At 51.8% G+C, this 23,532-nt stretch overlaps 2 protein-coding genes and 1 long non-coding RNA gene across 55 annotated transcripts in view, besides 5 other annotated features; 2 read left to right on the top strand and 1 right to left on the bottom strand.

The window, feature by feature from the left end:
* SLC45A4 (solute carrier family 45 member 4) overlaps positions 1 to 8,426 on the top strand; it is a 101,115-nt gene extending 92,689 nt beyond the window's left edge. For 11 of the 28 annotated variants that reach the window (XM_047422015.1, XM_011517173.3, XM_047421999.1 and 8 more), the window contains 2 exons: positions 125 to 197; positions 3,044 to 3,654. In XM_047422015.1, the coding sequence (XP_047277971.1) occupies positions 125 to 197; positions 3,044 to 3,561 (591 nt within the window). In that variant the 3' untranslated portion in view covers positions 3,562 to 3,654. Of the gene's footprint in view, positions 1 to 124; positions 198 to 3,043; positions 3,655 to 3,902 lie in introns of those variants that run through there. The other 17 variants (XM_047422011.1, XM_047422012.1, XM_047422009.1 and 14 more) reach the window with 4 other exon arrangements.
* Positions 6,269 to 6,776: an enhancer, noted in NCBI's record as "H3K4me1 hESC enhancer chr8:142218923-142219430 (GRCh37/hg19 assembly coordinates)". NCBI's record gives its function as "activates a minimal SCP1, AML or CMV promoter by ChIP-STARR-seq in primed H9 embryonic stem cells {active_cell/tissue: H9 hESC(primed)}" and the evidence as "EXISTENCE:reporter gene assay evidence [ECO:0000049][PMID:30033119]".
* Positions 6,777 to 7,284: an enhancer, noted in NCBI's record as "H3K4me1 hESC enhancer chr8:142218415-142218922 (GRCh37/hg19 assembly coordinates)". NCBI's record gives its function as "activates a minimal SCP1, AML or CMV promoter by ChIP-STARR-seq in primed H9 embryonic stem cells {active_cell/tissue: H9 hESC(primed)}" and the evidence as "EXISTENCE:reporter gene assay evidence [ECO:0000049][PMID:30033119]".
* Positions 9,360 to 9,769: a silencer, noted in NCBI's record as "silent region_19590". NCBI's record gives its function as "represses an Ori minimal core promoter by ATAC-STARR-seq in GM12878 lymphoblastoid cells {active_cell/tissue: GM12878}" and the evidence as "EXISTENCE:reporter gene assay evidence [ECO:0000049][PMID:35858748]".
* On the top strand, positions 12,241 to 17,611 carry LOC105375785 (uncharacterized). 3 transcript variants are annotated; one of them, XR_007061124.1, is made up of 4 exons: positions 12,241 to 13,098; positions 16,374 to 16,463; positions 16,790 to 16,890; positions 17,356 to 17,611. It is a non-coding gene; the product is annotated as an uncharacterized LOC105375785 (long non-coding RNA). The 3 variants fall into 3 exon arrangements; XR_007061123.1 differs by having other exon boundaries at positions 16,374 to 16,890; XR_001746124.3 differs by lacking the exons at positions 12,241 to 13,098; positions 16,790 to 16,890 and having other exon boundaries at positions 15,219 to 16,463.
* A 2,184-nt stretch (positions 17,612 to 19,795) lies between these two features.
* The window catches only part of DENND3 (DENN domain containing 3), a 67,216-nt gene continuing 63,479 nt past the window's right edge, over positions 19,796 to 23,532 (bottom strand). For 8 of the 24 annotated variants that reach the window (NR_148197.3, NM_001352890.3, XM_005250841.5 and 5 more), the window contains 3 exons: positions 23,151 to 23,269; positions 22,937 to 23,074; positions 19,796 to 21,567 (listed from right to left, as the gene is read on the bottom strand). Coding sequence is in view for 23 of the 24 variants with exons in the window: in NM_001352890.3 (NP_001339819.2) it covers positions 21,367 to 21,567; positions 22,937 to 23,074; positions 23,151 to 23,269 (458 nt within the window). In the remaining variant the exon portion in view is untranslated. Of the gene's footprint in view, positions 23,075 to 23,150; positions 23,270 to 23,532 lie in introns of those variants that run through there. The other 16 variants (XM_005250840.6, XM_005250842.5, XM_047421594.1 and 13 more) reach the window with 5 other exon arrangements.
* Positions 22,474 to 22,974: an enhancer, noted in NCBI's record as "H3K4me1 hESC enhancer chr8:142202725-142203225 (GRCh37/hg19 assembly coordinates)". NCBI's record gives its function as "activates a minimal SCP1, AML or CMV promoter by ChIP-STARR-seq in primed H9 embryonic stem cells {active_cell/tissue: H9 hESC(primed)}" and the evidence as "EXISTENCE:reporter gene assay evidence [ECO:0000049][PMID:30033119]".
* Positions 22,975 to 23,475: an enhancer, noted in NCBI's record as "H3K4me1 hESC enhancer chr8:142202224-142202724 (GRCh37/hg19 assembly coordinates)". NCBI's record gives its function as "activates a minimal SCP1, AML or CMV promoter by ChIP-STARR-seq in primed H9 embryonic stem cells {active_cell/tissue: H9 hESC(primed)}" and the evidence as "EXISTENCE:reporter gene assay evidence [ECO:0000049][PMID:30033119]".

Raw genomic sequence — 23,532 nt, 5'->3', positions numbered from 1 at the left:
ACCACCTGCCCCTGATCGGTCCCTGGCCACAAAGGGTCTTCTCCTTCAGCCGCCCCCACCCCCCTAGCACCTCCAGAGGCTTCTGGAGGCAAAAGCACTGTCCCTGCCCCTTTGGTCCCCTCAGGCCCAGTCACATTTCCCTGAGGGGGAAGCTCCAGCCCCGTGTTTTCCACTTGGATGGGAGGAAAGCCACCCAGGTATGCCTAGACTTCCTGGCGGCCACGTTTAGAAAGTGAAAAGGCCAGTGAAGGCCATTTTCATAGCATATTTATTCAACCTGGTGTATCTAAAACATTATTTCAGCATGTACTCTATATGAAAAAAGTCATCGAGATACCTTACACTCTTGCTCATCGTTGAAATTGTGTGTATGTTACATCACAGCACATCACACATGAGACGAGCTTTATCTCAAATGCTCAGTAGCCGCAGCACAGGCAGACTCTTGCCTCTTTCTGGACTTTATGCAGCTGAAACATCTGGCTTCATCCTCTAGGATTCACTCACGTGCTTGCTGGCGGCAGCACGGCCAGCCTTTTCATGTCACAGTGTATGGCCAGATGCACCCTGCTTTGTGAGCCTTTGGGTGCTTCCAGGTTGGGGCCGTCACAGGTAGCACTGCATGAACGTCCCTTGCCACAAACACCTCCTGTTGTGCCCGTGCTGTTGGCTGACAGTCTCCTTGGAGTAGTGTGGTGTGTGTGGTTTGAGGTGGGGGTTCAAGACTTTTATTTTTTTCCCTACATATGGGTGTCTGCCTAGGTCATGACCCAGCACTGCTCCCCGCCCCTCTGTGCAGTGCCACCTTTGCCATAAATTGGGCTTCCGTGTAAGCATGTGTTTCCGCTCTCTTCTCTTCCGCTAGTCTCTCTATTCTTGCACAAATGTCAACTGTCTCTCACTAGTTTTGTAATAAGTCCTGAAAACTGGTAGTAGAAATCCCTCAACTTTGTTCTTCTTCAAGATTGTCTTGGCTATTCTCAACCATTTATTTGTCATCTAAATGTTAGATTCAGCTTCTGGGCTTTTAAAATTAAAAACAAATTATATGGGTCAATTTGGGGAGAGTGAATGACTTTGTAGTATGGAACTTCCTATCCCTAAGTGTGACATACCCTTCTATTATTAATCCTCAGTGCATCAGTGTGACATGCCCTTCTATTATTAATCCTCAGCACATCTGGAGATTCTTTGGGCCATCTACTTACACAGCCACATCATCTGTGTCTAATGAGCTCCGTTTTCTCCTTCCTGATCCTTCGTACCTGTTACTTATTTTCCTTGCCTTCTTGGAATGGCTGGAACCTCCAATACTAAATATGTAGAAGTGGTGTTTGCTCTTTCAAACTCAACAGGGGAGTATTTAATATCTTACTAGGAAGTATGATGCTTTTTTTTTTTTTTTTTGGAGACAGAGTCTCGATCTGTCGCCCAGGCTGGAGTGCAGTGGTGCAATCTCGGCTCACTACAACCTCTGCCTCCTGGCTACTCAGCCTCCCGAGTAGCTGGAACTACAGGCGCCTGCCACCACACCCAGCTAATTTTTGTATTTTTAGTAGAGACGACAGTTTCACCATGTTGGCCAGGCTGGTCTCAAACTCCTGACCTCAGGTGATCCACCCGTCTCGGCCTCCCAAGGTGCTGGGATTACAGGTGGAAGCCACTGTGCCCAGCCCAGAGTATGATGCTTTAATTTGTGTTTTTCTGAGAATGTGTCCATTTCATCTGCACTTTCAAGATTATTAGCATTAAATTGTTCTCTTATGATCTAATGTGATGGAACCTATAGTGATAACACCTTTTTCCTCCCGTGTTAGTTATCTGAGACTTTATTGATTTTATTTGTGTTTCAAAGAACTTTCGGCGTCTTAGTCCTCCCTGCCACGTGTCCGCGTGCTTGCGCGTTCACTGCCGCCCTTTGCTGTCTCCTGCCTTCCGTTATGTCTTGGTTTAATTTGCTGTTGCTCATTTCTTAGTCTGATTTCCAGGCTAATATTTGCATTTAAGGTCAGTTTCCCTCCACACACACCTTTAGCTGCACCATGCAGGTTTTAATGTTGGGTTTTCTTTTAAAAGATTTTTATAATTTTCATTACGATTTCTATTTTGAACCATGAATTATTTAGAAGGACACTGATGAATTTCTGACATTTGGGCTTTTTCCAGTTGTCCTGTTGTTACTGATTTCCAGTGTGACTCCTTAATGGCCAGAGAACATACCCCATGTGGTTGCAGCCTTACAGTTAGCTGAGGCTTCCTTTGTGGCCCAGCACATCACGCGTGTTGGTAAATGTTCCGTGTACGCTTGGAAAGAATGTGGGTCCTGCACCTAGTGCCCCGTCTCTGTCTGTGAGGTCAACCTTGACATTGCTTAGCTCTTCTCTTCCTGCTTCTATTTTCTGAAAGGTAGATAACCATCTCTCACTGTGATTATGGCACACACATTTAGAGCTGCTTTGTTTTTTAGCTTCTTAGTGGACTGACCTTTTTTTCACTATCTCTAGGAAAAAGCCTTTGCAGAGATGCTAATGGTAGTAATATATGTACAGCAGTTTTCTTTTGTATCTTTGTGCAAGAAACACAAGTGAAACTGCTCACTCTTTCCGTGGGTCCAGCCTTTGTTGCACGTGGCCACCTGCAGTTATACTTTGGGAGGCATCAACCTGGGCTCACAGCACCCCTCCCCACTCAGCCCCTGCTGGAGACCACCAGGGTGAGGGGGAGCCCGCCTGGTGGAGCCTGGCCCTGCCACCTCTCCTTGAGACTGGAGGCCAGATTCCTGGGAAGCCCACGTCCCGACTGGATTGACAGAGTTGCTTCCACGCCTGCCCTCTCCTTGAGCTAGAACTTCCCACCTCTTCCGCCTGTACAGTGCTGGACAGGAGCTGGGGGATTGAGGGTGCTCAGGCAGGAGTGGTTGCCAAGAGACTCGGTGGAAGACGGGTCATGTTTCCAGGCTTGTGGGTTAATACTCACAGTTGTGAAGCACGGGTAGCAGCCACCTTCTCCAGCCGCTCACCGCCTCGTGTTTCCTCTCTTGCAGTACATCCACCACAGCCCCGGGAACTCCAAGCGAGGGTTTGGCATAGATTGTGCCATCCTGTCCTGCCAAGTGTACATCTCGCAGATCCTGGTGGCCTCTGCCCTTGGGGGCGTGGTCGACGCCGTGGGGACTGTCCGCGTCATCCCCATGGTGGCCTCTGTGGGCTCTTTCCTGGGCTTCCTGACGGCCACATTCCTGGTGATCTATCCCAACGTGTCAGAGGAGGCCAAGGAGGAGCAGAAAGGCCTGTCTTCCCCGTTGGCCGGCGAAGGCAGGGCCGGTGGGAACAGCGAAAAGCCCACCGTGCTGAAGCTCACGCGGAAGGAGGGCCTGCAGGGACCGGTGGAGACAGAGTCCGTGGTCTGAGCCGCACTCCCGTTTACACACATTCCAGTGGGCGGGTGGGCGGGCGGGCGGGCGGCGGGGCCAGGCCATGGGCGGGAGCAGAGACACCGCGGAACCCTGCAGATGCTGTGGCCGACCCGGCAGTGCGGGCCAGAGCCCCTCCGCCCCCATAGCCACAATTCAGTAGTCGTAGGGTAGGTTTGAGCTACTAAGCAAATACCACACTAACCACTTTTTCGATAATTAAAAGAATCATTTGAAATATTTTTTTTAATTGAAAAAGATATTTTAATTTCAGCTCTTTTATTCTGCAGGTGTATTATTCTGCATGTTTTTAAATGATATAAAACATTTATATAGACAATAAGCAACTTAGAAAAAATAAGATTTTGCATTTCTAAAATTATAATTGAAAACAAAATCTGACATTCTCTGCTAAGTCTTATCTGAATGCTTCAGATAATGGTAGTGTAGTCAGTGACTAAAATATTTTTATCAAATTTCCTCTCTGTAGACGCCTGCAGGTATTGACGTCTGTCAGATCTCGTCACATTGGCTGGTGCCGCAGCTGTTGGAGAGTATTTTTCTTTATGATTATTTTAGAAAAAAAATTTTCTTTTCCACAATGTGGTTCTCTTAGAAGAATGACGTATCTTCTTTTCCTCAGCGAGTTGGACACATTGTGCCCAGGGCAGCCCTGTCCTTGGGCAGCGACCGCACACCAAAGCTGGGAGGAGGCTGGTCCGGGGGGCCTGGGCAGAAGACAGTGATTTGCAGGGGTGGCTCCCAGACACCCTGCCCAGGGATGGGCTGGGCACCACCTGGGGGCGGAGCGTGAGCTCCAGACGAGCTCCTGCGTGCGCGTGTGAGTGTGTCTGCGCCCAGCCATGTGACCCCGCTCGTCCCGTCTGAAGGACTCTCCTAGGAGGCCAGGTTGCCCCTCCAGACCGCTCCCAACGTCAGGGGGAAGGAAACGTTGACTTTCACTGCACTTTGATTCGTCTCTAAACCATTTGCTGGGGATTCCTGAGAGCAGAGCTCCCAGCGGGCCCTGCCTCCCAAGTCCCGCCGCAAGGCTACCTCGGGTGTGTGGATGTGCGAGGGCCTCCCCCGCTTGCGAAGGGGACATGCGTGCTGGAACCTGTCGGAACTCCATGCCTTCCTCGCCTGCTCACCTGCTCGACGCTGGAATCGGGACAGGTGCAAAGGGACGCAGACGTCTGGGACAGCTAAGGCCCGTGTCACCGGAGGGCTCCGCACAGTCGTTCTGGTTTCAACGAATAAGCAAAACTCGGGCAAGTACTGCAGCTATTTGGAAATGTTTTCCAAACCACAGTCTCTTTAGAACTAAGCCTATTTGAAACGGTCGGTGTAGGCTTACTGAGATCAGGAGACAGGGAGGCCCCGCACATCACACAGATAAAGTCAGACAATTGTAATTAATACTTTTGCTGCCTCAAGTTGTTTTTTAAATAAAGTACTTTGAAATGCATGAGAATCATGCTGCAATATGATCATTCTAGAGCAAATATATATATACACGTATATATATTTCAAGATGAAACTAAAGCAGTTTTTAAATAAATTACTTGAATTTTCTGTGTATTTAAAGGAACGACTGTTTAATGTACTTGATGGGCCTCTGGTCTTGCCGTGTCTCCTGCCGCTGGTGGCACTTTGTAGATTGTGTGTTTGTGTCCGGGTGGCAGTTGGGTACCTGCTCACGCACGGTGTGTCTGCCAGGCCACGGTGTCCCAGGATCGCAGAGGGCTGACTTTCAAGACTTCAAGAACATTTTCTGGATGTGTGGAAACTTGAGAATGGCCTTGTGAATCTCGTGCTTGGACAGGGCAAGTCCGACTACTGAAAGTGCTGCCAGCTTTGCTGCGAGCCCTCCGGCCAGCGGGAGCCCCGTGGGCTGGGCACTGTGGCCCTTCTTCTCTGGGGGACGGCACCCCTGGCTTCCTCACCTCGGCCGGGCGTCCGTGGCAGCTCACTCTATGCAACTTGATCCTCTAGCGGCTTTAAGACTGTAGATCCCCTCTCTGAGACCTGGCTGTACTTGTCAGGATCTCGAGGCGCAGCTCCCGTCTTAGCTGGTTTCTCCGGCTTCTCGTCCTGACGACTATAAAACAGTTGGAGGCAAGAAAGCAGCGGATGTGGGGTGGCAGTGGCCTGACCCGAATCAAGATCCGACCCAAACCACACCAAATGTGGGTTCATCTGGGGGCCACCCCTTGCCTGAGGCTTCCCACCCTCATCTGAAGGCCCAGGGGCCGGATCCAGGGCTCACCAAAGCCGATTCCTCGCCAGCTGGGAGTGCAGAAGTCTCAGGGCCTGGCTGCGACTTGATTTTTAGGAGGAAGAGGGGCTTCGCAACCCCCCTCTGAATAGTGTGTTAACCCTTGAGATCCCAGCCTCGACTAATCTGAAGTAAGGACAACAAAGGCCATTCAGTGCCCTCCACATGGCCTTGCCACAGTCACTGTCAGGGTATGAACGTGCCGGAAGCCAGTGCCAGCCAGGGACAGGCGTGACTGTTGTGTGCTCCTCGGTGACAGGAGTCGGTGGCTGCACACTTTGTAGACTCGTCAAGCTGTCAGCACTTCAGGTGTTTGCAAGCAAAGCCCTTCTTAGTGTGCAGGTCAGTGTGCAGAGCCCAAATGAGGGGACCGCAGGGGCTGGGGTCCAGGGTCAGTAGAGTCGGTTTCTGGAGCTGCCTTCCTGGGAGGCAGGTGTGGGTGACCGGGGCTCTGGCGGTGCGTGTGGGCCCGGCCTGGCCACAGCGGGGACCAGGTCACGACATCTTTGGCCTCAACCCCTCCCCTGCACTGAGATTATTTCCAGATTGCACTCACTTGAAACCGTCCGTGTCGTCACCTTGTGTCTTAAGGGAAGCCGAGAAGAAGGGCAGACGGGCAGGCTGTCTTGTCTGCAAAGCGCCATTGCGCCCGCAGCTTGTGTGGGTCAGGCTGCAGCTCGGGTGTCTGTGGCTTCTAACCTTGTACCTCAGACGGATGCAGTAACAAGGCGGGGCTGGGGACGCCGGTCAGTGTCAAAGGGGAGGTGCTCTGGCTGATAGCCTTGCCCGAGAGGGACGAGGAGGCCGTGCGGGTGCCCCCTGGGGAAGCTGGCCAGCCATCCAGTGCTGAGGACGCAGCTGGAGTTGGGCTCGTGGCACCCTTGGGGTGTGGGCTGTGCAGGCTGGTGGCCTGGGTGCCTCTGCACACTGAGTGGAGTGTCAGGCAGGGTGTGTCGGTTGGTCGAGTCTTGTGTAATGTGCGCAGACCAGTTACCAAACTAGGATAATGTTGGTCTCATTTGTGGTGGTTTTGTTCCCTATACAAGTCAGCTAAGTAAAGACTCTTTTAACGAGCTTCCCCTTAACACATGGCAGAAGTTTCCAGGTGCAGGAATGCGAGCTGGCGGGAAGGGGCAGAGGCCGTGAGCTCTCAGCTGGGCCGGCCTGCCTGTGTCCCCTTTCCTGGGTCTGTCGGCAGACTGGCATCATGACGTTCCCTGGTGGCTGAAGAGCTAGCTTTGGAGTGTTGTTTTTCTCACTCTCAGGCAGGGGCCTTAGCTGGAATCCTCCAACCTGCCACTGAACACGTCAGTGCTGTGTGCTGCCTCTTGGACACCTGCCCTTGAAAGCCTCAGGCCCCTGGGAGAAGCACTCTGTCCAGTCCTGTCCCCGGGGGGGAGGCAGGGCCACTGAGCCCTCCTCAGATGGTTAGTGGCTTCCAACAGCCATCAGGAGTGTTTCTTGAATGCCCCAGGTGTGGAGGACTTGGTCTGTGACCACCTAGAACCCCAGAGCTGAACAGGAAGCCGTCCCTGCAGCAACAAGAGGGCTGGAAGGGGGAGCTGCAGGCCACCCTCGGCTCTCCCACTGCTGGGGCGGTGATGTTCGGGTGACATGTTTGAAAAATACTCTTAAAGATACCAACTGTTCCCTTATATGGCTAATGGTTTGTGCAGCCACCAGCGATGGCGGCCCCTATTAGAGACCAGGTTTGTTAAAACACCAAATATTGCTGTCCACACTAGACATTAACCGGCTTCAGAAAAGATGGACACCTTTTCCCACGCTGTTTCGCTTCTTAACTTTGGTCCAGCTTTAGCCACCACACAGCGTGTGAGGGACTGCTGCTGCGGAGTCAGCCTCGTTTGTCCCTCCGCCTCCCACCAGCACGCGCCGCTTCTGAGAGACACCAGCTCCCTGCCTCCAAGCCTGGTGCCACAGGCCTGTCGTGAGGGACCCCTGCTTCCGAGAGCTCCTGGGGGGGTTCTGCCCTTCACCACCTGGGAGAGGTGTCAGTTCAGTTCCGAGTTGAACAAGGCCCGTGCACACAGCATGTTGGGGGCCCAGCCCAAAGTTCTTGTCACCTCCTCATGCAAAGCCAGCCATCACCCTCCGGCCAGAGCTCAAGGTGGCCCCTTGGCCAGCCCCTCCTTGGGTCCTCCAGGAGGACTGAGCACCCCTCCTAGCGGCATCCCTTGCCCTCCACAGTGCTGCCAGGGGCACGTCGCTCTGTGCCGTGGACTGAGACCATCCCCTGGTGACAGAATGACCCGTTTGTTGGAAATGCCTCGTTGCCAGAGAAACTCCCCAGGCATCTCGGAACGAAACTATTTAGTTCCATTGTGAACTGGCCACGGGACAGCTTTTTATCAACTTATTAAGTTGGAGCACTGTAATCGCGCTTGCTGAGTTAGCAGTGGTGGTAAGCGTGTGTTAAACACATAATGTTACGTTTTAGGAGAGAGAGGTCGTAAGGAAGTGTCGTGTCGCTCATGACTCTCTTCTATTAGTTGGGTAACAGTGGCCTCATGTTTGTGTCTGTGTGTACACAGAGCCCTTAGGTTCTGCTCTGTTTCTTTGCCAGGTGAATGTTTGTGGCATGCGCTGCTGTCCGCGCCCCTCTGTCCTGCGCAGGGTTCAGCTGTGCGGCGCCCTGATTTCCTCCATGCACACAGAACCTCCTTGTGTCTGTTTCTCTGTTCCTCTGTGGCTGACTCAATAAACTTTTCCCTCTGACATGATGATGTGGGTGTGTCTGTCACTTCCCTGTGGCCTCCTGCCCTCTGCCTTCCTGGAGCCTGGTGGGTCTAGTGGGCTGTCTGAGGCCTGCGGAGGGGAGCTGGGCCCAAGTACCAGAGCATTTGCTTCCCAGAGGGCCGCCAGCTGGCAAATCCGGGGCCTGTCCCTGGAACCCACACACAGGCCCACTCAGGTGGGGTTGAGGCCTGGGCCTTCTGCAGGCCTGTTCTGGTGGAGCCGGGGTGGGGCCCGCGGTCTACCTCTGCTGAAGGGTCCCTGACTGTCCCTGGAGCCAGTGTCTTAAGGAGGCAGCCTGCTTGCTGTTGCTGCCAGCAGGAGGGGCCACGCTGGGCTGAGGACGGGGTGGCCCGGTGTGTGCACCTGGCTTTGGCGCCCCAGGGGACATATGGGGTCCTGGGGCGGCTGGAAGAGCGCTCCATTGACCTTCCTACAGGCAGAGTGAGTCATCTCTGTCCTCTGGCACCCCACTGAGGGCTGTGACTGGCAGTTGGCAGTGGAGGAAATGAAAGGGAGGGGACTTGCCCCGGGTTACCCAGCTGCTGGGGTTTGAATCCGGAAGCAAGTTTTCTTCAGTGGCTCTTCTGATTTGTGGGGCGTGGAAGGGGTCCCAGCAGGGCCGGGGTGTGGAGTAGAAGGGATCTGCTCAGACGAGGGAGAAAGGGACGAGGGACTTTGATAGTTGGGGGGTGTCACCACGGGGCTCCTGGATGGGACCTGCGCAGTTGGGGGCCCACGGAAGCCAGGAACCTCCGGACCTGGGGACAAGTCCCAGCTGGGCCACTCTGGCGCTGTTACCTGGGCGCCCTGCTGCAAAACGCAGGCTGATGGCCCTGTGGTGGGGACTAAAGGGATGGTCGCTGTCCTTCGGCCAGACGGGAGTGGGGCGGTGAGCCAGGGCCGCCCAGACTCTGCACCCAAGACCCCATTTGCCATCTGGGACCCTGCCTGGCGCCCTGGCTGACGCGAGCCCGCGGCATCCCCTGTCGTCCACCCGGTGCGTGCGGCCCCGCCATGTCCCGCCCCGCCGTCCCTGGCAGGGAGGGGCTGTGGAAGCCTCCGCCCACCACGGCACGCCCGGCACCCCCAGACTCGTGGCTGGGCTTTGGGAACACAGGTGGAGGCCCAGGGCGCGGAGGGCGGCGGGACCCAAAATCCAGGCGCTTCCCTCCCAGGTGGGGGAGGCAGCGAGCGAGAACAGCTTCCTGCAGGGGACGCCCGGCCACCGCGCCGCAATCCCGCCGCGGCCACAGAGACGCTCCCCGCCCCTGGACAGGCCTGAAGCAGTGGGAGCCCGAGACGCTGGGAGCCCCGCACCCCGGTGGCCGCCCGGGGCCCAGTGCCTGTGGGCGGGGAGGCGGAATCGACACCCCACCAGGACCCCCGCCCTCGGGTGGTGGGCGGCCGTGACGGCGGCGCAGGGGCCAGGGGCGTGTGTTCCCCCGCCCGCCTCACCTGGCGCGCGGGTGCCTGGCCCACCTGAGCGAGCACCAGACCTGCACCCCGCCAACCAACGCTCCCCCCGAGCGACCAGGCTAGGAGGGAACACCCGGTGCTGCGCCCCTTTCCTGGCCTTTCCCCAGGATGCTCACCAAGGATGAGCCCTGCGTGCCCAGCGGCCATCACGGGGCAAGAAGAAGTCGCCAAGACAGAGAATCAGTGACCCAGGCCTCCCAACCCGGTCTTTGTTCGTTTTTGAGACGGAGTCTCACTTTGTCACCCAGGCTGGAGTGCAATGGTGCGACCTCAGCTCACCGCAACCTCTGCCTTCCAGGTTCAAGCGATTCTCCCACCTCAGCCTCCCGAGTAGCTGGGATAATTGACGCCCGCACCCGGCTAATTTTTGTACTTTTAGTAGAGGTGGGGGGGTCTCACCATGTTGGCCAGGCTGGTCTCGAACTCCTGACTCAAGTGATCTGCCCGCCTCGGTCTCCCAAAGTGCTGGGATTACAAGCGTGAGCCACCGCGCCCGGCCCGTCTTCACATCTTTGTCTCCACACTACTAATGTTAATTTTTTTTAAACGAAATTTGAACCACTATGCAGAGTTTTGCAACCTACATTTTTTGTTGTTGTTTAGCAAAATATTTTCAACTTTCCTTGTTCCTGCATGTAGACCTACTGCATTCTGCAATAGCTGTTAGCATTCCAGGGTGTAACTTCTTTTTTCTTTTTTTTCTTTTGAGACAGGGTCTCCCTCTGTTGCCCAGGCTGGAGTGCCCAAGGTTGATCGTGGCTCACTGAAGCATCCTGGGCTCTGGCCATCTTCCCGCCTCAGCCAGTTGAGTAGCTGGGACTGAAGGTGCACGCCACCATGCCCTGCTTTGTTTCTTTTTTTTTTTTTTTTTTTGGTAGAAATAGGGTTTCCCTATGTTGCCCGGGCTGGTCTCAAACTCCTGGGCTCAAGCAGTCCTCCTGCCTCGCTCAGCCTCTCAAAGTTCTGGGATTACAGGTATGAGCCACTGTGCCTGGTCTTGTTTGCCCATTTTTAAATTGAGCTGTTCATCTTGTTACTGATTTGTAAAAACTCTATATATTTTGGATAAAAATTCTTGTCAGATATAGTATTGCAAATATTTTTTTTTCCTTAATGATATATTTTGATAAAGTCCAATTTATCCATTTTTTCTTTAGTGTTTAGCTTTTTTGTGTGTTCTCTCTAGAAAAATCTTTGCACCAAGGTGGCAAAGATGTGCTTGTTTCTAGAGCTTCTAGCTTTACATTTAGGTGGGTGAGCCACCTTGAGTTAAGTTATGTGTAGTGAGGTAAGTGTTGAGCTGCTTCCCTTTTCCATACGTTTATCCAGTCATTGCAGCACCATTTGCTGAACAGACTTTCATTACCGAATTGTCTTGGAATTTTTGTTTTTTATAGTCAACTGACTTTATGCTTGCGCATCTAGACCCTACGTTGTGTTCCATTGATTTAATTACCTATATTTATGTCAAATCCTACCGTTTTAATTATTGTAGTTTTTTAGCAAAGCATAAAGGTATATGAGTCCTCTGGCTTGAGCCATCCCACCTGGCTTGATCTTCTTTTTGAAGGTTATCTTAAATATTCTACTTTGCATTTCCATATATGTTATAATCAAATTCTCAATTTCTTTTTTAAAAATTATGTTAGCATTTTGATTGGGATTAAATTGAATCTATCAGATCAATTTGGAGATAACTAACATCTTTACAATATTTAATCTCCCAGTCCATGAAAATGGTATATCTTTTATTTCAGTCTTTAACATTTTCTCTCAGCGATGTTTTTGAGTTTTCAGTCTTTTACGTCATTCATTAAATTTATTTCTATTGAATGTTTTTTATGCTACTGTATTTTAACAGTTTACAAGTTGTTTGCTGTTAGAATATAGTAATGCAATGATTGTATATTGACCTTGTATCCAGTACCTTATAGAAAAAACTAGAAAAATATTCTAGTTTTTAAAATAGATTCTTTAGGATTTATATAAATGGCCTTGCTGTCTTCTAATAAAGATTGTTTTGCCTCTTCCAGTACAATCATCTTTTTCCCCTCAATGTTCTGCTGAACCAGTACAATGTTTATGCCCCCCCCTTTTCTCCCCCTATTGCCCTGGCTAGAATCTCTAGTACAATGTTAACAGGAAGGGGGCCCCCTCTCCCTCTCCCTCTCCCTCTCTCCCTCTCTCCCTCTCTCTCTCTCTCTCTCTCTCTCTCTCTCTCCACGGTCTCTCTCTCTCTCTCTCCCTCTCTCCCTCTCTCCCTCTCTCCCTCTCTCCCTCTCTCTCTCTCTCTCTCTCTCTCTCTCTCTCTCTCTCCCTCTCTCTCTCTCTCTCTCTCCATGGTCTCCCTCTCCCTCTCTCCACGGTCTCTCTCTCTCTCTCTCTCTCTCTCTCTCTCTCTCTCTCTCTCCCTCTCTCCCTCTCTCCCTCTCTCTCTCTCTCTCTCTCCACGGTCTCCCTCTCCCTCTCCCTCTCTCCACGGTCTCCCTCTCCCTCTCCCTCTCCCTCTCTCCACGGTCTCCCTCTCCCTCTCTTTCCACGGTCTCCCTCTGATGCCGAGCCGAGGCTGGACTGTACTGCTGCCATCTCGGCTCACTGTAACCTCCCTGCCTGATTCTCCTGCCTCAGCCTGCCGAGTGCCTGCGATTGCAGGCGCGTGCCGCCACGCCTGACTGGTTTTCGTATTTTTTTGGTGGAGACGGGGTTTCGCTGTGTTGGCTGGGCTGGTCTCCAGCTCCTGACCGCGAGTGATCCGCCAGCCTCGGCCTCCCGAGGTGCCGGGATTGCAGATGGAGTCTGGTTCACTCAGTGCTCAATGGTGCCCAGGCTGGAGTGCAGTGGCGTGATCTCGGCTCGCTGCAACCTCCACCTCCCAGCCGCCTGCCTTGGCCTCCCAAAGTGCCGAGATTGCAGCCTCTGCCCAGCCACCACCCCATCTGGGAAGTGAGGAGCGTCTCTGCCTGGCTGCCCATCGTCTGGGATGTGAGGAGCCCCTCTGCCTGGCTGCCCAGTCTGGAAAGTGAGGAGCGTCTCTGCCCGGCCGCCATCCCATCTAGGAAGTGGGGAGCGTCTCTGCCCGGCCGCCCATCGTCTGAGATGTGGGGAGCGCCTCTGCCCCGCCACCCCTTCTGGGATGTGAGGAGCGCCTCTGCCCGGCCACGACCCCGTCTGGGAGGTGAGGAGCGTCTCTGCCCAGCCACCCCGTCTGAGAAGTGAGGAGACCCTCCGCCCGGCAGCCACCCCGTCCGGGAAGGAGGTGGGGGTCAGCCCCCGCCCGGCCAGCTGCCCCACCCAGGAGGGAGTGGGGGGTCAGCCCCCGCCAGGCCAGCCGCCCCGTCCGGGAGGGAAGTGGGGGGTCAGCCCCCGCCCGGCCAGCCGCCCCGTCCGGGAGGGAGGTGGGGGTCAGCCCCCGCCAGGCCAGCCGCCCCGTCCGGGAGGGAGGTGGGGGTCAGCCCCCGCCGGGCCAGCCGCCCCGTCCGCGAGGGAGGTGGGGGGTCAGCCCCCGCCCGGCCAGCTGCCCCGTCCGGGAGGTGAGGGGCGCCTCTGCCCGGCCGCCCCTGCTGGGAAGTGAGGAGCCCCTCTGCCCGGCCACCACCCCGTCTGGGAGGTGTACCCAACAGCTCATTGAGAACGGGCCATGATGACAATGGCGGTTTTGTGGAATAGAAAAGGGGGAAAGGTGGGGAAAAGATTGAGAAATCGGATGGTTGCCGTGTCTGTGTAGAAAGAAGTAGACATGGGAGACTTTTCACTTTGTTCTGTACTAAGAAAAATTCTTCTGCCTTGGGATCCTGTTGATCTATGACCTTACCCCCAACCCTGTGCTCTCTGAAACATGTGCTGTGTCCACTCAGGGTTAAATGGATTAAGGGCGGTGCAAGATGTGCTTTGTTAAACAGATGCTTGAAGGCAGCATGCTCGTTAAGAGTCATCACCACTCCCTAATCTCAAGTACCCAGGTACACAAACACTGCGGAAGGCCGCAGGGTCCTCTGCCTAGGAAAACCAGAGACCTTTGTTCACTTGTTTATCTGCTGACCTTCCCTCCACTATTGTCCTATGACCCTGCCAAATCCCCCTCTGCGAGAAACACCCAAGAATGATCAATAAAAAAAATAAATAAATAAATAAATAAAGATTAACAAAAACTAAAACTTTGATAACAATGTTGGAGAAAGTTTAAAGAAACAGATACTTACACACTACGGTGGAAATAAATAAGGATTTGGCAATCCAAAAAAAAAAAAAAAACAGGAAGGGGGAAAGTGAATATCCCTGCCTTGTTCCCATTCTTGGGGGAAAAGCAATTAGTCTTTCACCGTTAAGTATGATGCTTGCTGTGGGTTTCTTGCAAATGCTCTTTATCAATTTGAGGAAGTTCCCTTTTTCTGCATCTATTGAGATGATCGTTATGGCTTTTCTCCATTGTTCTACTGATGTATTAAGTTACATTGATTGAGTTTTGAATGTTAAATTCACCTTGCATTTTGCAACCCCACTTGGTCACGATATATTAACCTTTAAAAATATTGCTGGTTTCGATCTGCTAATATTTTGTTTAAGAATGTTGCATCTGTGGTGGTTTTTTTGTTTTATTTTGTTTTTGTTTGTTTTGAGACGGAGTTTCGCTCTTGTTGCCCAGGCTGGAGTGCAATGGCGTGATCTTAGCTCACCGCAACCTCTGACTCCCAGGTTCAAGCAATTCTCCTGCCTCAGCCTTCCAAGTAGCTGGGATTACAGGCATGCGCCACCAATCCTGGCTCATTGTTTTTGTATTTTTAGTAGAGACAGGGCTTCTCCATGTTGGTCAGGCTGGCCTCAAACTCCCGACCTCGTGATCCGCCCGCCTCGGCCTCCCAAAGTGCTGGGATTACAGGCGTGAGCCAGCATGCCCGGCCCTTTTGTTGTTGTTGTTTAATTTAGGTTTTTAAGGAATAGGTGGTGTTTGGTTACATGGGTAAGTTCCTTGGCGGTGATTTGAGATTTTGTGTACCTTCACCCGAGCAGTGTAGACTGTACCCAATGTGTAATCTTTCATCCCTTGCCCCTCTCTCACCCTTCCCCGCCGAGTACCCAAAGTCCATTGTATCATTCTTATGCCTTTGCATCCTTGTAGCTTAGCTCCCCATATCAGTGAGAACATACGATGTTCTCTATCACTTAGAATAATGGTCTCCAATTCCATCCAGGTTGCTGTGGATACCATTATTTCATTCCTTTTTTATGGCTGAGTAGTATTCCACGATGTAAATACACCACATTTTCTTTATCCACTTGCTGATTGGTGGGCATTTGGGCTAGTTCCATATTTTTGCAATTGCGAATTGTGCTGCTATAAATATGCATGTGCAAGTGACTTTTTCATATCATGACTGATTTTCCTCTTGGTAGATACCCCAGGAATTTTGCATCTATGTTTCTGATGGAGATTGATCCATAATTTTATTTTCCTGTAAGATCTTTGTCAACTATAGGTTCATGCTGGTCTCCTAAAATGAGTTTGGAAGGGTTCTCTCCTCTTCTATTCTTCTGAAAGGGTTTCTGTAAATTCTATTATGCCATACTTAAGAGTTTGTTAGAATTAACTAGTGAAAGCAATTGAGTCTAGAGATCTCGTCTTTCTGGGAGATTTCTTCTTTCTGGGAGATTTTTGACTACAAACCAATTTCCTGTATAGACTTAAGACTCCTCAGATTTTACTCCTCCTTGTGTTGGTTTCATAAAGTTATCTTTAAGAAATTTGCATATTTTAAACTAGTTATTCATAATATCCTTGTGATGTATGTAAGATTTGTATCTCACTTCATTCCTGATACTGGAATGAAATTCGTGCATGTGTGTGTTTTTCTTGATCAGTCTTGATAGGGGTTATCAATTAGAGAACGAACTTTTGGCTTTGCTGATTGTTTTCCCTTTCATTGAGTTTTGGTCTTTATTATTACCTTCCTTTACTTATTTTATTTAAACATGCTTTTATTTTTCTATGTTCTTATGATTAAAATTTAGATAGCTGATTTGAAACCTTTCTGCTAATAGAGGCATTTAAAGTTATAATTGTTCTTAGCTACATCTCATACATTTTGGTTTTTAATTTTCTTTAAAAATGAAGAGATAGCATCTCCCTATGGCTGGTCTCGAACTCCTGGGCTCAAGGGATCCTCCTGCCTTGGCCTCCCAAAGTGCTAGGATTATAGGCATGCACCACCATGCGTGGCCTGCATCCCATACATTCGGATACATTGTGTTTTCACTATCATTCAGTTCAAAATATTTTCTAATTTCCTTTGTGTTTCTTTTTTGACTGATTGGGTTATTTTGAAGTATGTTGTTTAATTTCCCAACATAATTTTGAGATTGTTAGGCGTATTACCACTGTTGATATGCCATTCCATGTCTGTGTGGTCAGAGAACACAGTCTGTAATATTTAAATCTTGAAATTTATTTTATAGCCCAGCATGTGATCCAGCTTGATGAACATTCCATGTGCACGTGACAAGAATGGATATTCTGCTGTTGTTGGCTGTAGTGTTCTATGTCAGGTCAGGCTGGTTGACAGTGTTGTTAAATCTATATCCTTGCTAATTTTTGTTTACTTTTTCTATCATTTTCTGAGAGAAGAGTGTTAAAATCTCTATGATTGTGGATTTTGTCTGTTTTCTCCTATAGTTCTACCGTGCTTGCTTCATCTCTCTTAAATCTCTATTATTAGTTAATTCATCTTCTTGATGAATTGACCTTATTATTATGCTTTTTCTGTTTGGTTCTTGTAGTATACCATGAAGTATGTTTTGTCTGATAGCAATATAACCATACCAGCTTTTTAATACTTACTGTTGGCATAGTAAAACTTTTTCTTTGTTTTCAGACAGGGTCTCACTCTGTCACCCAGGCCGAGTGCAGTGACATGAGCACAGTTCACTGTAGCATTGACCTCCCAGGCTCAAGCGATCCTCCCACCTCAGCCCCGTGAGTAGCTGGGCCTACAGGTCCGCACCACCACATCCAGCTAATTTGTTAATGTTTTTATAGCGATGGGGGTCTCACTGTGTTGCCCAGGCTGGTCCCGAATTCCTGGGCTCAAGTGATCCTCCTGCCTCAGCTTCCCAAAGTGCTAGGATTATAGGTGTGAGCCACCACATCCAGCCTAAAACTTTTTTCATGCTTCTACTCTTATCTCATTTGTGTTTTTATATTTAAAGTGAGTCACTTGTAGACAACTTATAGTTGGGTTTCCTTTTAGACCTAGTTTGACAACCTCTGCCTTTTAGTCGGAGTGTTGCATCCATTTACACTGAACATAATTATCAGTATGGTGAGGTTGAAGTCTACCATCTTGCTACTTATTTTCTACCTGTCACATCTGGCTTTTTATTCATCTATCACTGCTTTCCTGTCTTTTTGGTGAATCTTTTTTAATATTTCATTTTGTAGCCATCCCTGTGGGGGTGTCAGTGATGCTTGGACTCCACTAACTGCACCATTGTCCTACTCCATCTCCTTTGAGCCTGCTGTCAACCTCTGCACACATGGCCTCAGCCCCTAGCCCTGGATGACCACCATTAGACCCAGCAGAACGGCAGCAGTGGTTTGCTGGCCCAGCACCTAGAGCTGCAGAATATGCTCCCTTGACCCTCAGGGAAAGATGCAGAGCTAGTGAGACTTACTCTCCTCCACCACCAAAGTGAAGGTGAGTTTACCCTCTCCCTCATCCCAGGATCCTCCCTGAATGGGCCGGGAGCTGCTGCTGACACATCTCAGGACCGCCAGCTTCAGCCCCGCTCCCAGTGCCTTGTTAACGGTGAGAGCACTAGCGGAAAGAAAGGCGGCACGTCAGGGCAAAAGCAGCTTCTGAGGGCGTCTCCAAGCCCAGCCCTGCCTCCTTGGCAGTGAGGTATGCCCGCAACCTCCACTTTGCTCTTAGTACTGGGGCCAAAGTATCCTGGGTGTAAAATGGGGATGATCCTTTCCATGCCACGGGGTCCTGAGGATCATACACAACAGTGCCCCTAAAGCGCCTGGCACAGCACCTGACCGGAGCACACGGGCAACACACAGGCAACAAACAGGAGCTGGAAGAGTTTCCTGTGGCTGCCAGAACAAACACCACAAACCAGATGTGGCGGTGGGGGGTCATGCACCCGACATTTATTTTCTCACCGTTCTGGAGGCCAGAAGTCTGAGATCCAGGTGCCGGCAGGGCCACACCCCCTCTGAGGGCTCGGGGTAAGAAGCGTCCTGGCCTCTTCCAGCTCCCTGTGGCTCCAGGATCCTGGGCTTGTGGCTGCGTCGCTCCTGCCTCTGCCTCTGTCTTCACGTGGCCTGTCCCCATGTATCTTTTCCTCTCCTCCTCAGGACATTTGTCATTGGATTTAGGGCCCACCCAGAATCCAGGAGGGGCTCATCTTCAGATCCTTAATGACATCTACAAAGACCCTTTATCTAAATAGGTCAGATTCACAGGTCCCGGCGGTTAGGACATGGACATACGTTTTTGAGGGCGCCATTCAACCCGCAACGGGAGCCATCACATTCTCATTTCTCCTTCCTTAATGTTCTCACGGGCCCAGCACACAGGCCAGGATGGAGCATTCTTTGAGGTGTTCCTGGGAGCCCAGCAACAGACTGGGTGTTCAGTGTGCCCCTGTCGGTCTCCACGTGGGCCCTGCAAGAAGGAGCCACCCCCGTTTTACGGGGGGTTCAGGGCTTGTGGCCAGATGTGCAGCTAGGCCTGGATCAGGCTCCCGTCCGGCCCCAGTGCGTCTGCCGTGCCCGTGACCCCAGGCTGTGTCTCTCAGAATCCGCCAAGATTCCAGGGCAGGTAACTGCAGAGCTCCCCCGAGTCCTGTGCACGCCTCGGCTCACACTGCAGCTCAGCAGCAGCAACGCGGGTGACAGAAACCAGCTCTGTGTCTGTGAGCCTCTGCCTCACCTTCTGGGGGATGGCACAGTATTGCTCCAAGACATGCAAACAGCTGCGGGCAGCAGAGACAGTGAGGCAACCCTGCCACACTCTCCAACCATGCCCTCCTCAGGCATGCGGAGAAAGCACCCCTTCATCTGTGCAAGGAATCCTCAAGCAGCAGACAAAATTCATGCACTGTTAATTCAGATGTTACAGTCACATCCAGTGCTAAGGGCTGTCCTTTGAAAACAGCTGAGGTAGACACATCTTCCAAGAACAAATCATAGAAATGTTACCAGGCGATTGTCTTCACAACCTCTGCATCAGTGATGGGGACTTGGGGGTAAGCTTTTGGTTGGCGTTGTGAACAGTGCCAGCTCCCTAAAGCAAGCTTGCTTTTCTGTTGTTTGAAATACTGCAGGAGAACTGAAATTCTCTTAAAATATACCGGTTTCTGGTTCAAGAGAAATACTTTTTTGCACCAATTTAATTCAGGTTTCTAAAGCCGAGGCAGGGATGGCATCACAGTCTGTTGAATGAATTCCAGCTCATTTGGGGCCTTTCCATGACAAATCATTCCTAATGGAATCTCTCCAAAGCACAGGGGAAAAAATCGAAGGCATCAAAGTGCCCTTTCCATTTCAATAAACTCCACTGGCCAGGATTCTGTTTGCATAACACAGAATAAACATGGAACCCAGGCCTGCCCAGCACATTTACTCCCTGGTTAGCACCTCTGTTCACCTGTTTTCTCTTTTATATGAGTGACCATTTCCTAAAACGCAATCAATCAATCACTGTCAAGTAAGATCTTGAAATTATCACCATGGAGAAAAGACATGAAGAGTCTGCATTAAGGTAACGTGACCGGTGCCTAGAGTGAGGAAGGAGCACGTTCAGAATGGTCCCGGGTCATTTTCAAGACCTTCCCCCCGTCACTGTTGGATGAAGTAAGGAGCCGGACATCAGTGTTTATTAAACCAGATTTATTCTCCACAAGCTGAAGATACCTGAGGTTACATGAGGACTGGCATTAAATAATTTATAAATGTATTTTTGACTGACAGACTTTTATCATAAGGATTCATGTGTTTACAAAAGCAAAATCCAACCTCTCCAGAGCTAGAAAGTGGGAAGGTGCCCGGGCTGCAAGCACAGCCTTGGGGGAGGATGAGGCCACATAATTCTCTCTGCCCACACTCTCAGAATGCCCCAAGAAGTTAGTAGCTACACAAAGCCAAGCCTTGGGGGAAAACCTGGTCCGTGGTGTGGACTCTCCAAAATGCAGACCCAACCGGAGGCCGGGCCCGCCTTTCCATCTGGAGGCACTGCAGGGCTTCTGAAAGCGGCCCATCCCAGGAGCCTGGCAAACACCCCCAGAGACCCTCAGGATGCGCCAGCCCCGGGGCTTTGTCCTGAGAAGCTGGAGCTCCGTGGCCCAGCTTGTGGATGGGTGCCCAGGGGGCAGGCCCCATGCCCTCAGCACGTGCTGACACGCTCCCTCCGGCTCCAACAACCACACCAGAACCTTCCGTAGAACATTTAAGTAATGAAGTCTCAACATTACAGTAAAAAGGTGCAAAGGGTCTCTTTTACAAATATTTATGTACAGCCAAGATCTTGTTGAGTTCAGTATAGCATGCTGCGCGTACACATACGCAGTGTGCACACGGATTCAGGGAACTGAGCGGCACACTGAAGACGAGATCACACGTGTGCACACGGATTCGGGGAACTGAGCGGCACGCTGGAAGACGAGATCACACATGATGCTATTTTACTTTTGATCCCATGTGCTTTCCTGGGCATGATATTTTAGATGGAACTTTTTCTGGTCTGTGATCTTTGGTAGAAAAAAGGTCTCTAGGATTATTATAAAAATGTTGCATCTATTAAAAAGAAAAGGGAAAAAAGACAGCTTGCCTCAGCTGGCCCAACCCCTGTCGCAAACACCTGATCGCAGGGTGGTCCCCTCCACCTGGGTAGGCCCTGTCCACCTTCTGTGATGGGAGAGAGCCCACAGTGGTTACCCGAACCACCCTTCTCAGGCCTCGCTGGAGGCCCCGGGGCTCCAGGCTCCCTGTCATGTGCTCAGCCCAGTGTTCCTCGGTGATTCGTAAGGACTGGGTGAGTGAATGAATGAAGTAAGGAAAGGTAAAACCAGAGACGTGAGGGCCACGGGTCACCTGTGACTCGGCCAAGCTGCTGGCTCCAGTGCCAGCCCCTGGTTGTGGATTCCAGAACTTTCTAGGCAACAAAGTAACCTCCCAGCAGAGGTTATCACCAACAAGACGCAGCTGCCTGCCTGAGACACACCCCAACAGGAAACACCCTTGGTGCAGTTTAACCAGGGGGCCCGAAGGCCTGAGAGAAGGTGCGTGGCCATGGGTCTCGCGGCTGGCCACACGGTAAGTGGGCTCCATGCTGAGCCTGGGCTGCTCTGCCCTGCCACCCCTCCAGGCTTCTGCTCCTGGCAGGCTCTAGGGGGCAGCCAGTCCCCACACATAGGGCACAGTTCCACTTGGCAGACTCAGCCACGTTTATTCGCCTTTCCAAATGGCGACTTTCCCCTCCTCCCTGCCCGACCCACTCAGCACGTATCTGTCCTCAGCCGAGCACAGCGTCCTCACGGTGTCCATGTGCGCCACCAGCTCCTTCTCCACGGTCTTCCTCTCGGCGTCAATCACGTAGATTTTCCCCTTGGGTGTTCCCTGCCCCAGCCCTCGGCTGCCCACCCAGACCTGCCAGGGAGAAACGGGAGGGGTCAGCAGGGAAAGAAGCCCCTCCCAAGAGCACCAGGGCTTTGCCCGGCTACCCAGAATTGACGCGTGTGCCTCCAAATCTATGTCCTTCCTGGACAGGGCCTCTGCCGCCTGAGGGTCAGGGCCGCCTGGCAGGTGCACAGGACCCTTCTCGGGCTTAGAACCTAATGGCCGAGGGGCCTCTGGGGAAGAAGACTGCACTGCGTGCTGGAAAAGTGCTGGGGTGCATCTTAAGTGTTCTCACCAAACAACAGCCACCTGTGTGAGGTGACAGATATGGTAATTAGCTTGTGATTATTTCACAATGTATACTGAAATATCACCTTGTATACCTTAGATATATATAATTTTTATTCATCAATTATACCCCAATTAAGTTATGGGGGAAAACACTAAACGAATTCCGCCCCACCCCCGCCGTGTCTCCGACTTGCTCGGGGCCTGGAAGTCCAGCTTTCCTTCCAATTTCTCCCTTTTCGGATGAGAATGTCTAACCTCTGCCTGGCCCAGCCTTGTGTTTTGGGAAGAGACAGCCTGTTCTAGCTGCGCAGGTTCACGGTGCAAGAGGGGTTGGTTCTGCCCCAGGTGGGACCCGCCCACGGCTCACCCACATCGGAGGGCTTTGGCTTCACTTGGAGATTTGGGGCTCAGAACTGACACTGGAGGGACTGGGACTTCGGGGGATGTAGTGATGGAGGGGGTGTATTTTGCATGTGGAACAGATGTGGATTTAGGGGGCCAGAGGGCAGACTGTAATGGGTTGAACAGTGTCCCCCCAAATCCATATCCTCTGAACCTCAGAATGTGAGCTTCTTTGGAAGTAGAGTCTGCAGATAGTTCAGATGTGGTCACACTGGTTAATCCAGTACGACCAGCATCCCCATAAGAGACACACACAGGGAGAGAGAGTGCCATGTGGTGCAGGCACAGGTTAGAGTGCCACGTCCACAGCCAGGGCACGCCAAGGACGGCGGCCACATGAGCGGGTGGGGGAGAGAAGGGCCTGGAGTGCACGCTCCCCCCGAGCCCCCGAGGGAAGCGGCTCTGCCGACACCTTGGTTTTGGACCTCCAGCGTCGAGAACTGTGAGAAAATTAAGTTCTGTCATTTGAAGCCATCCAGTTTGGGGGAATGCGCTGTGGAGTGCTTGGACCACACCATGAAACCAGCACATGGTGACCTGTGGGCCCGTTGGCACCAACCCTGCACGTGCCTGTTAGGAGGGGAACCCTGAGAGGCGAAGGCAGGAGGGCACGAGGGCGTGCGGCTGGCTCTCGGGAGCATGGGGATGCGGCCAGGGCAAGCGAGACCTGCCGGGGATGCTGGGGATGGCGGGCCCTCCACCCTACCTGCTTCTTCACCCGGATCATGCAGTTGATCTCAGAGCAGTCCTCGAGGGGCACCCTCTGCGGGGGCTGGGCCAGGTCCTTCAGGCTCCAGATGTAAACCTCGCTGCGTCCTGCACAGGCCGCCCACAGCTGCTCCTCCTGAAACGCAGGGCACGGTGTGGGCTATGGGCCCCGGGCCACGCACATGCTGGGCCCACAGCCCCTGCTGGGATACCTCAGGAAGGAGCTGGAAGGCCAGGAAGGAGGTACTGGTGTCTTTGAAGTTCTCCTCAATCTTCAATTCTTGATGGAGGGATCCATTCATTTTCATGACCATGATGCTGTTACCTGTGCCTGTGGAAGGAAGGAGCTAGGATGGGGCCAGGCAGTGTCATTGGCAACATAAGACGCCAGCACCAGAGCCGGCCTCACTGCTCTTTCCAGCGTGGTGATGGGGGGGATCACCACGTGCCACCTGGCGCCTGAGGAATGCACAGGTGAGGTCTACTGGGAAAAAATGCAAGCTAGAACCCTGGGTCTTTAAGAAGAAATGAGGCTCACCAGAAAACGTAAATATATGGGCAGTTTCTTAATTTTTCTTAACTTTCTTGAAAGAT

Source organism: Homo sapiens, chromosome 8 (assembly GCF_000001405.40).
Source record: "Homo sapiens chromosome 8, GRCh38.p14 Primary Assembly".
NCBI lineage: Eukaryota > Metazoa > Chordata > Mammalia > Primates > Hominidae > Homo > Homo sapiens.
Note: the sequence above shows the minus strand (reverse complement) of the source record. Positions and strands in the feature narration are given on the sequence as shown.